Raw genomic sequence first — 12316 nt, 5'->3', positions numbered from 1 at the left:
TGTACTTCATACTCCATCAAAGCACCTTTTATCTGAGCTCTACAGTGACTAGACATGACACTCTGATTCACAGCAAGTTGTTGATAGCTGGTAACAGATGTAATGCTATTTCTTAAAAGGTATAGAGATTAGAGGCAGGAATGACGGTAGTGTGGAAGGGGTACGGTAAAATGATAAATAACATCAATAACTGAAATTTTGTGGGATTTTAGGCTTATGAGGGAGTCATTTTCACACAGAGGTGTCCTTCCTGAAATGACACCAACTAGGCCAAAGGCATTAAAGTTCTCAGTAGCAACAAGAAATCAAGTCAACACCAGTGCAGGTGTGATCAAATGTCAACTAGGGAAATTCTTAAAGTAAAACTTGGACACATGGTACACTGTCTTCCTAGTACTGCCTGGCTAACAGAGAGCAGGAGTGAGTGGGGGAGTGAGACACAGGAAAAATAGAGTGAGAAAGTAGGAAAGCTGTACTTCAAAGTGTAGCTTTCCGTGTTCCAGCAAGGCATGAAAATGTCCACAGATACAGCAACCTCCCCATACCTCACCCCACTTTAATCTACAGGGTAACTTCAGAGGATTTCGTACAGAAGACATTTTAATCCCAATACACCATAAAGAGGGTACTAAGAATCCTAGTATTCATGGGAGGACCGTTTTGATTACCCATCCTCCTCCTTGTACAAAGTAGCTGTAGGCAAGAGGCCTGTCAAAGCCCACGACCTTACATCATTAAGAGCTCAAAGAGAGAGAAAAATACAGCTCCCAGCCAATTCTCACATCATCAGGAAAGTATCACCAATGTATGAGACAGGAACATTTAAGTAGCCACAATGAATGAGGTATCCGGGTATCTGGAACATCTCCAAAAACGCAAGCTGCCTCTTATTTGCCTCCTTATGGTAAAGAGTATTACTGAGTCTGTAAATGTGAAAATAACTATTTAATAAATCTTTTTAAGCAGTGGGCCTGCCAGTAGGGGTTTGCAGTTGTGTTTTGTGCTACCCTCCCCTGAACCTTCCACTCTGCCCCTGTGGTTTTCTGATCAGAAATCAATAGCTACCAAGTTTAGGGTCTTTAGAAACACACCAGACACCAGGGTGGATAAGGCTGTGCTTTATTACATGCATAATTACAAATCTGTGCTAAGTGAAAATGTATAAAGCAATGGCGACCTGGGTTTAAGCCACACAGAGAAAGGGCTGGACAATCCATTAACCCTTCTGCCAATGTCCATTCCATTGCTTTTAACATGATTGTTTCCATTTCTTACAATTTGCATAGCACTTACTTGTCAACTTGCTTTGAATTCATTGTCTCAGTTTATCCTCACAACAACCCTGTGAGGTAGGTAGGGCAATTAACACTATCCCCATTTTGCAGATGGGAACACTGAGGCACAGAGCGGTTAAGATCTCGAGGCTAGTTAGTAGAAGCATAGGGAATAGAAATCAGGTCTCCTAACTCCCCAGTCCACATCTTCCTTTTTAGACTATGTTGTTCCGCATGACTAGGGAGTAGAATAAAGCGAGCAGTGAGCCATAGCTCTGGTTCAGGCTATGCCTAGGAACAGGCGAGAATAAAGCTAAGAAAGCATGGCTAAGGGCTAGCAACACTCAGATAAACAACTGCTCTGGACAGCTCAGCACCAAACTTCCTGCGGAAACTTGGGCTCTATTAGCTTTGGTTGAAGCTACTTTCTGGATGCCTAGTTACTGCTGATGTCTAGACATTAGCTTCAGCTGAACTTTCACCAACTCTCAGGCATTAAAATGTCGAGTCAGACAGGTTTTCTTTGGCTACTGCAGTTGGAGCCAGCCCTACAAAGAGCTTACTACAGAGAAATTCAAATAGTGGCCCATGGGCCGGAACCCAGCCCCTCTGATCTTCCTGGCCTCATTGGCTCACTCAACAGGTGGTAGTTTTCCCATAGCCAGAAATGAATGGGCAGAGGTAAGAACAGGAGGCTGGCCTTGGTCAAATGAAGAAGAGTCACCCACATGACATCACTGTCCCCCTTAGCTGACGTGAGCAAGGTACTGACTGGGCCACCTCCTTTCTGGCCTATACCTGGTTAGCAGCATAGCTTCAAAAGAGTTTAAGAGAACAAAATATTAAACACATCATTTTAAAATCCTGAATGGAATAAATTCTTAATCATCACAAAGTCCCAAAGGACCAAATATATAATAAAAAGTAAATACATACTTATAAAAAAAAGCTGAGTGCTAAAAAGCCAGGAAAATGGGAGAGAAAGGAAGAAGAGGGGACAAAGTGAAATGGAGGAAGGAAAAGGAACACACTGGAAGGACCATGTATTTTGAGGTACCCTTAATGTGACAGTGAGGCTGAACATTCCCCTCTCAGGCCACACTCTCTTCTCGATTTTGCCAGATGGCATTTCACTCACCAAATCTTAGACTGCCCCTGAATTCCAACAGATTTGTACTAGTAAGTAATATAGTTTAGCAGTAAATACTTCATATGTCTGCCTTGAGATGCTAAAGCCCTCATCACCCCCGACAAGTATCAATGGCTTTGGCCCTCACAGAGGAGCAAAGCCCTGTTGGTCCCATCAACTCAGACGTATCTTCCAGTTTCTGTTCTCAGAACAATCCTCTCCCTCCCACAAAGTCCACATTCAAAACAACATGCCTATAATAAAAGAAAGAGAAATCTGAATTCAGCGCATGGTGAGGGGAGAGAAAGACAATGAGACAGACAGCAAGGTGGGACGAGGCAGAGAGAAGAGAGGCAGAGATCTTTTTTTTTTTTAAACTCTCATATTTTTATATTATCACATGCTGTTTTTCTTCAAAAGGCCAAACTTTAGGCAAAGCATTCATTCAATAAGTGTGCACACAGAGGCTGAAGGCCCTTTGGCAGGAACTAAGAGGTAGGAATTTATGACTGTAAGACTGGGCTGGGTGACCCGATAGGTCCCATCCAAGAAATGCAAACTCCACACGTCATATACTTTCTTTCTTGGGTGATTTGGCAAAATTAGACTACACCATGGAAAAACCAATTTTGTTCCCTACATCTATTCAAACCTTTACCCAGATCCAGATGTTTAGAAATGAGAATGTGGCCAGCAAACGTTTGGGGAGTAACTTAAAGTTGCTAACACCCATTGTTCTCAGAAATTCTCTCCTTGGAGCAAGCAACTGAAATATGAAACAGAGCAGAGTCAGCGATCACCCCAGGACAACTACACTGATTGAACTTCAAATTGACACAGCTACTGAGCTCTGATCTGAGGAACTCTTACTTTTTTTTCCATATATAAGGATGTACGAGGAGGCAGAAATATAAATTTAAAAAAATTTGCTATCAAAATTCAAGACAATCTATCTAAACCTTATAGTTTAGGAAATGGCAACAGATGCCACATTTCTTCATGAGCAGATGTCTTGGGTCGGCCCTATCCATAAAACCAGACTGCCCTTGAGCCAAACACTGCTTTGAACCACTCATTTGCTTAGAAAGCCTGGCCTTTGAAGCATTGCTTGACTTTTTCTCCCCTTGAGGCACACAATCAAGCAGTTTATAAATGCCAGAACATATGTTGTAGGGGTGTGGGATGGCTTTCCTTCCACCATCTTACACCATTCAAATATTTTCTTACCAGGGCTTTTTCTATGGCCATAACTTTTAGTTTCTTCTCCAAAGGGAACCCAGGCAATCCCAGAGGTGGCTAAAAAAATCAAGGTTTGGCTGGGTGCGGTGGCTCACACCTATAATCCCAGCACTTTGGGAGGCCGAGATGGGTGGATCACGAGGTCAAGAGATCGAGACCATCCTGGCCAACATGGTGAAACCCCGTCTCTACTAAAAATACAAAAGTTAGCTGGGCATGGTGGTGTGCGCCTGTAGTCCCACCTACTTGGGAGACTGAGGCAGGGGAATTGCTTGGACCCGGGAGGCAGGAGGCAGAGGTTACAGTGAGCCGAGATTGTGCCACTGCACTCCCACCTGGTGATAGAGCAAGACGACTCCTCAAAAAACAAAAAAACAAAAAACAAGGTTTTAGGACACTTAAGTTCAGACTACATATTTAGACATCAATTCTTTTTTTTAAAAAAGGACTCAATATTCTACCTCCCACTTACTTTCTAAATTCCTAATTTTTCTCCGGGTTTTTAAGAGCTCAATGTTCTATGCACCACCCAAAAGATGTTTTCCTGCTTCCTCTGAACTGATGGGTGGCTTGCATTTGGCTCTGATCCAGTGCAGGGGACCCAGTTCCTCACAAGACAGTGTGGTCAGTCATCAGTAAGTACTTTGGCAATATAAAATATGCTGGCTGTTTCAAGTTCTCACCATTGTCTTTGCTATCATTATTAAAAACTCAAGTTCAAAGATTGCACTGTTCATTATTTAAAAACAAAACAAAACAAAACAAGAGATAGTGTGGGATAACAAGTGCATCTTCCTACTTATCACCTAACAAAATAAACAATAATCAAGACTGAACCACAACAGGTGATTGAACTACTTAAAACATATAGCAGTGGTTAATTTCTATAATGGACTCTATTGCACACTAAGTTTTTGAAAACATATTTGCCCCCCTCACATCTGAATGCGTTCATAAGATCTTGGTTGTGAATTACTTCACGGCCTTAGATCTCACTAAACCCTGGTTACTTCATCATGTTCAAACAGAATTGAAGATCTGCTAAGAAATGTATAGTATGCTCTGCTCTTCCTGTAAAGGGTTTAGATTCAGCCTCTGGTGTCAAAACAATTCAACTGCTTTTCAGTTCAATCACAAATTAATCGTTTGCTTCACCAGCTGGTAAATTCAAAGTATCATCAATGTCAGCTTATCTACCAGAGGATATCTGTTCTGTGGATCTTACCACCTCTACTCCACAGCTGGGCTGAGCCAGGATGCTGTGGCCAGAGAAAGAGGAGAGCATTGGAATATGTTTCTAACCAAACATCCACGTAGAAATGATCTTTAAAGTTGCCATTATTTTGTATTATCAGTCCCCTGCTTTTTCCCTCCAATATAACGAATCATGCATTAACTGTTTCAGGTTCTTTAAATTCTTTATATTGAAGATTTGAAGATACAAAATATAGCAGTTTTACTTTTACAAATCTATAGACTCTCGTTCCTTTTATGGCTGGATGGCTACCAGCTACTCTTACTTGGAAAATCCTAACTCTGTTGAAACACTAATTGGCATTCTTTTGTAAACCCTTCCCTTGTGTTAGGCAATTTTCTCATTTAATACCAAAATAGTCTCATCTCGACTCATTAATTTTTAAATCACAAACCATCTAGTCTTTTGCCATTGAGGTATGTGGCCATTTGATGCTACTGACAGTCCTCCCTATACTGGCTGTATTTGTTGCTTAAGCATGTCCAACTGTTAAAGTGGCAATGGCAGAAAGAACATTTTCCTTCTCCTCAAGACAAGAAACTTCAAATGTCAAGGTGCTGAGCTAGCAGTTGAGAGCTCTAGCTGCAATTAGCCAACCTTTGAGCCAAACCATAGGACTGGACATATAGTGGATACCATATACCATAGCTACTTCTAGCATACAAGCTACAAGGATTCCTGAGAAGCTGAGGTTAATGAATGAGATTGATCAGGAGTGAGGTATCAAAGGGATATTGTCATTCTCTGGAGGGCCAATCGGTGCTTAGCATCTACAAAGTATACCTTGGCACAGTGTTATCTGATTTCTCTAATTTATTCTCTGAAGTAGCACCTTAACACTGGCTCATCTGTCTAAAATCAAGAACAAAGCCTAGAAGAAACACAAAAGCAAACTTGAGACACCCTCCTTATCGCTACTGCACTATGAAATATGACCAAACCTTTCATTGTCATTAAATACCAGAAATAGTAACATTTTCTGTTTTGCAAACTTTAGTGGGGAAGGACAACTAATAAGACAGGTATTGGACCAGAAATGTACAGATAAGAACTTTGATTTCTACACAATATACAGGGTAGTCAAGCCAAATAGTCTCATATGAAGGAATCAGTGACATGGAAAGGACAAAATATGTGGTTACTGAGCCATTACTATGATACAACATACCCCAGAAAGATTTTTTTCTTTTTCATTAAAATGCTAGAGTGATCTATTCACAAGGAGAAACTCTAGCGACTGCCTTGATTATTTTAAAGATAAAAATAAAATAACCCTTGGCTACCCAGTTCTGAGCAAAAAAAAGAATTTCAGATTTTGGAAAGACAAGAACTATGGGTAAAAACGTCCTAGAATCAGGGATCAGCAACTCTTAAAATGAGGTACACTGAAGTGTTTGGGGGTAGAGGGTTGGTGGGAATATGCAGAATGACCGCTGATTCTGGGCTGGAAGGATGATGAGAAGTGCTAGGAACAGAGCTATAAAATCATCCAGGCTGAACTCTTACCCCGGCAGTGAAATCTCACTGCCGTAGGCATCCAGTGTGGAAATGGAGGCATGGCAGCAGCAACTGGGCCACATGGCAAAGGAAATGGCTGTGTGTCACCTCTGGTCCATGTGTTGTGAGACTGCTGAGCCTTGGTTTACAATTTAACTAGCCCTGGGAGTTATTTTTTTTTGTAGTAGGAATGATTAACCAGGAGCAGCGCTCAATCCCAAACAGAGGATTTGGTACTAAGGAGTAAGAAGTGGAACAGAATGGAGGGGGAGTAATTGCACACAGGTAAAACTACAGAAAATGAAATAGTGGTTGGAATGATGATGGTGGCTCTGTAATTCCACCAAGTGTCCCCAGAGTGTGATTTTTTTTTAACTGCAATAAAGGTGGTATGAAATTGAGACAGGCACCTTTTCAATTGGATACAAGCACCTTTGGTGTCACCAGGCCTTGTCCATACCCCTGTGTCTTAGGATGGCTCTGCATTTTATTTAGAATTCTAAGGACTCTTGAGGGAGTCACAGCTGCCTATCCTGTTCCAACACCTTGAATATATTTGGAAGCATCCCAAGCCTAATTCATGATCATGGGGACAACACACTGGCCTGTTACACATACTTATCGCTGGGAGGTACAATGAGTGTCCAGTTATTTTAGTACTGGTGGTCTTTACAAAGGAATGCATGAGGATGCATATGCAGTTCTGAGTCTTCCCTGGTTTACCAGTATGCAGTCTAGACTTGGTTCCCTTTGCTGTTTTTACATATTCCAGAAGCCTAAAGCACCATCATTCATGGAGGTGGCATCTGGGTAAGAGAATTAGTTAGGACCTCACAAACATGTGAAACTCCTAGTCATTGACTTTGCTTAGAAGTTTACTAATTATTCATTTCAAGGAAGCTGGAAGAAATCATTCCTTGCTACTAACAAATTCACGGCAAAGTCCTTGTCTACCAGCTAACAAATGCCACCTGGAAAATTACCGTTTTTGCAGACAAGGAGAAAGCTCTATAACTTATCTTTGTGCACTTCAAAAGAGTACCAGCAACAAGCAAGCTATAAAAGTCAATCTCTCTAAATTCATTTAGAAGAGATTAACCAAAGCAGCATTGTCTTATAATCAGAAATTAAAATTAACATAAACATACACACATAACAAACTAATAATGCTAAATATTGTAACAGGAACAAGGATAACATTTGAACTGAATCTTCACAGTCTAGAAAATACCATTACTCTTTTCCTTCTGGCTTTCCTTTCTCTGGTTTGAAAAGCAAAGCCCCTTAGTTTACACTTCGTCTTCCAGTAACAACAGTTAGATCCCAAAAGAGTGACTTTTTCGTCGGTTTCCTACAGGTTATAGGTCAGGACGGTTGGAATTTCTCTTGCATAGTTTTCAGTGATTGCATATTGGCTAACTACTTTTTAAGTTAAAAAAATCTTTTAAAAAGCAAATATAATTAAACCATAGCAATCTTATTTATTCTTTCATGATATCTTCCTAATGTAACATCATGGAAGCCTAACTATAATTTCTCCTAAAGAGAAAATTAATTTCCAGAGATTATGTAGTGCAACTGGTTAACTTGTAGGAAAGAGACAACACACTAATGTGACTTCACCATCCAAATATGGAAAATGTGTTTTGGGTACCCAGTTAATACAACATATCCATGGTCTGTAATGTCCTTCCCGCTTTACATCCAGAACTCTATGATTCTAGTTGAAGAGAATGGAATCAGGATCTTGGTTCGCCATCTGTGCTATATGCTTTAACACATCCTTTTTGGTAATGATTCCAAGCAATCGCCTAAAAGACAAACACAATACAAAAAAACAAAAATAAATCTGTAGTTAAAATAGCATTCCCAAAGGTGATACTTGTCCTCCTCAGTCCTTTTCAACTTTGTCTTTGATCACTAGCTGCCCTTTCAGTATGAGATCACAGGAGTAGGACATGTGCCCCAGGCAAATAGGATGATGTGTGGATTCCTAAATGTATGCAAGTGTTTCTACCTCTAGGTCTCAGACCCTGCGATTTCCTCTGGTTTAAATACTCTTCGCTACATATCTGAATCTTATCTACTGCAGCCCAGTTCAAACGCCCCTATTCCAGAGCACCTTCCCTGATTCTATGAGCCAGCAGGAACTCTGCCCTCCTCACAGCAACAGCATGCACATTCTTTGCAGGCCTCCTCAGTGGCACTTGTCCTCTTTGCTATTGTACTATAACCACTGCTAGGTTCTTGCCTTCCTTAAAACACTGTCTGCTCCTTGAGGGCACAGAAGGGTCTTATTAATTTTTGTGTCTCCCTGGAATCCAGTGGAGTACCTTCTTACATGGAGCAGGGATTCAGCAGATGTTGAATGAACCAGTTAGGGAACTCCCCTTACTGATTTAAATCCTGCAAGGCATCTGTTACACCATTTAGAAATTTCAGATGTGAAATTCTTATATAATTGCTGGATTAACGTAGCATGTTTGGGAAAAAAATCCACCCCTCTCCTCAACCTCCTTTCTTTTCCAATAAAAATAGAAGGGTTCCCTTTACTGGATAAGAACTATCCCAGGAAGGAAAGAGCCATGGGCTTGGGAGTCAGAAGACTTGTGTTTAAAGCCTTTCTCTACTATTTATTAGCTGGAGAACTTTGTATAAATCTCACCTCACTGAAACTTGGTTTTCTCATCCTCAAGTAATAATAAGGAGATTGTAGGGAACAAACACCCAGCAAATACACTATTACCTGATGCTACTGTAATTTCAGTGCTGCCTATGCACAAAACACAGGTGTTTCCTTTGTCAGGGAGGAACTGGGTTATTTATAATATGCAACCAGCAGTTCACATCTCTCAAACACATGTTCTTTCCCAAACTCCCTTTACATTAATTATGATTTAAAAAAACCTATCCACTTTCATCTCAGAGCTTCAAGAAGTCCTAAAAGTGCTACTAATGTTCATTTAAACTGGGTTCTACTTCTTTCTACTTCTTTCTATCTCTGCATTCTCTTTCTCCCACAATTCAATTTGACTTCACTCAAGACTTCTTACCCGTTGTGTGTAACCAGGCACTGCCGCAGTCCCAGCTTTCGGAAAATATCCACTACGATCTCCATGGGTGTAAGGTCAGTCACAGTGAAGGGGCTGAGATCGAGGATGTTCCGAAGCTTTAGAGTGGGTGGAGTGTATGGTGGCAATGGAGGAGAATGCTCCGTGAAATAAATGATGGAAGTGCTAACAACCCCATCCTGTTTCTTTCGAGCATTTTCTATTCAAACAGAAGGAAAAAACAAATTGAAGATGGACGTGCTAGCTCTATCCTTCTGGCTCCTAACCAGTCCCCCCTTCCCTGTCTTCCCCCATTTCAGGCATATTTATTGAGTTCCACAGTGGATTCCACTATCCCCTTTCTGAAATCCTTACCAATTGAAATAATGAGATCTCTTCGGAGGACAAAGCCCACAAGTCTTTGGGACTCCCGGGATACCACCACTGGGAAGCCACTGTAAGTGGTTTCACTGATTATGGTCTCTACATCTTCCACAGTCATACTGTCCTGAGTAAGGACAGTCAACAAAGGATCATTTCTCCGGGGTTTCATCACATCCATTGCCAGGGTCTTATGAGCAAACTCTTCTTTGGCTTCAAGAAAGGGGTATCCATTGAGACGGATGTGGGCATCATAGATGCCCTCCCGCCCAAGAGCATCTGCCACCCACTTGCTTGTCATGGCTGCAGCCATCAGAGGCACGATGTATTCTAAGCCACCAGTCAGTTCAAACATTATGACAACAAGAGAAACAGTCATCCGAGTCACCCCACCTGCAAAGAAATAGACACAGTCTACTCAGGTAGGCAAAATACAGGATTCTTACAATTATGGGCCTTTCCAGGAAAAGCTGACCTACCAAAAACAATGAGGTCTCACCTACAACTGTGCAGACCCCAGAGATTGCAAGAAAGCAAGGTCACAATGGAGACGATTCAGAGTTCTCAAAATAACATCTACAAGAAGCCTTCTGTTTTTCTTTTTTCTCTCTCTTTCTTTTTTTGAGACGGGTTTTGTGCTCTGTCACCCAGGCTAGAGTGCACTGGCATTATCACTACTAACTGCAACTGCCATCTTCCAGGCTTAAGTGATCCTCCCACCTCAACCTCCTGAGTAGCTGAGACTACAGGCATGTGCCACCACACCTAACTAACTTTTTATTTTTTGTCGAATTGGGGTTTCACTATGTTGCCCAGGCTGGTCTCAAACTCCTAACCTCAAGTGATCCTCCCACCTCTGCCTCCTAAGTAGCTAGGATTACAGGTGTGAGCTACCATGTCCAGTCCAAGATGCCTTCTTGTTTCTTTGTTCTTTCATTTTTCTGTTGCTTCTTTTCCCTAATTAGAAAATACATGCCATTGTGGAAAATCCAGAAAATATAAAAGAAAGTCATTATCTATTAGCTGACTGCCAATAAATAAGCAGAGTAAAAATTCTGAATGACTTTTTCAAGTTTTTTTCTATGCAAAAACATATGTTTTTAAATGAGTGAACTCACATTATATGTTTAATTTTCTGCCATGTTTCCCCCTCTACTTTATGTTGGGAACATTCTGCATATTATTACAAATTTATATAACATCATATTTTAAGATGTTAAACATATTAACAATTAACATCACATTTAAAGGCTGCATTGTATAACATCATATGGATGTACCATAATTCATTTAACCAGTCCCTCAAGTGCAAATTTAGGTTGATTCTAATTTTTTGCTCTTATACTATGATACATATTCTTGTGCAGATATCTTTGTCTAAATTTCTGATTATTTCCCCAGTATGAGAGTAGAATTCCTTTTCTTTTTTATTATGATTTTTATTTTTATTTTTTTTAGTTTCCTCATCTGTATACCAGATGCTTTCTTAATGTGCTTGGAAAATGGCAAACCTAACTGGAAAGGGATGGGCATTTAAATTCTCCTACAGTCAACTGTGTTTAATAAACTCTTCTGTTGTATGTCACCTGGGTAGCAACTTGAAATTAATGCAAACACTACTCACCTAAGCAGGCTGCAGCCCCAACCATTGCATAAAGGCCGGGGGTGATGCAATCAGCTCCCTGACTACACCAGCTATTGAAGACGGTCCATTCCTGGTGGTAATAAGCCAGCTGTTCCATTCCTACTCCTAGAAGTCGACCTGCTATAGCACCAACAGCCATGCTAGGGATAAAGAGGCCAGAAGGGATCTGCAAAGAGAAACCAATAGATGGTTAGTGAGAAATGATGTGATTGCTTGGCACATGGTAAGGGCTGGAGGACTGACCCTCTGCAAAGCAAACAGGCCGATGACAATTTAACTATGCACTATGCTAGCAAGTGGCTGTAAAGGTGTGTGTAACACTACAGGGACTAGAGGTTCTCTGGGACGTGCAGGCAAGGACGACTGCAAAGAAGCTTACCCTGATTCGGGGTCCATCAGGCAAGAGCCTGAACTCTCCAGACCAACACAGAACTGGAGGCAGAAATTGGGCCTTTCCCAAAGAAAAAGGAAAATAGATGGAGTTTCTCATATATGCAGACATTTCCACCAATTTTGAATTCTTATCAACAATGACTACCCTTTATTGAGTACCTACCATGTTCTATGCTGGACGCTCTACATGCAAGATTCATGGGTTCTTTATAACCCCAGGAGGCAGGCATTATTATTCCCAAATGCCAAAGAACCTAAGGTTCAGAGAGGTTAAGTAACCCACCCAAGGTCAAGATTTAGTAAAGACTGGTGCTGGGATTTAAATGGAATGCTCATAACCATGCTCATATATTGAATCTTAGCCCATTGCTCACACAAAAAGGATATAGCACATGAGGTTTCAGTCTATTTTGTAACAGTATCAAGAAAGATTAAACAATTAAAAAATTGTAA

At 40.9% G+C, this 12316-nt stretch overlaps 1 protein-coding gene across 9 annotated transcripts in view, besides 1 other annotated feature; it reads right to left on the bottom strand.

Annotated features, from left to right (window-relative positions):
• CLCN5 (chloride voltage-gated channel 5) overlaps window positions 1104-12316 on the bottom strand; it is a 176635-nt gene continuing 165422 nt past the window's right edge. For all 9 annotated transcript variants that reach the window (NR_199781.1, NM_001440757.1, NM_001127899.4 and 6 more), the window contains 4 exons: window positions 11450-11636; window positions 9820-10218; window positions 9448-9664; window positions 1104-8205 (listed from right to left, as the gene is read on the bottom strand). Coding sequence is in view for 8 of the 9 variants with exons in the window: in NM_001440757.1 (NP_001427686.1) it covers window positions 8115-8205; window positions 9448-9664; window positions 9820-10218; window positions 11450-11636 (894 nt within the window). In the remaining variant the exon portion in view is untranslated. The remainder of the gene's footprint in view (window positions 8206-9447; window positions 9665-9819; window positions 10219-11449; window positions 11637-12316) is intronic.
• Window positions 9295-10494: an enhancer, noted in NCBI's record as "BRD4-independent group 4 enhancer chrX:49854497-49855696 (GRCh37/hg19 assembly coordinates)". NCBI's record gives its function as "activates an origin of replication core promoter dependent on BRD2, P300/CBP, MED14 and CDK7 cofactors, and independent of BRD4, by STARR-seq in HCT116 cells {active_cell/tissue: HCT116}" and the evidence as "EXISTENCE:reporter gene assay evidence [ECO:0000049][PMID:35650434]".

Source organism: Homo sapiens, chromosome X (genome assembly GCF_000001405.40).
Source record: "Homo sapiens chromosome X, GRCh38.p14 Primary Assembly".
Classification (NCBI taxonomy): Eukaryota; Metazoa; Chordata; class Mammalia; order Primates; family Hominidae; genus Homo; species Homo sapiens.
The sequence above is the reverse complement of the archived record's forward strand: the minus strand, read 5'-3'. Positions and strand labels throughout refer to the sequence as shown.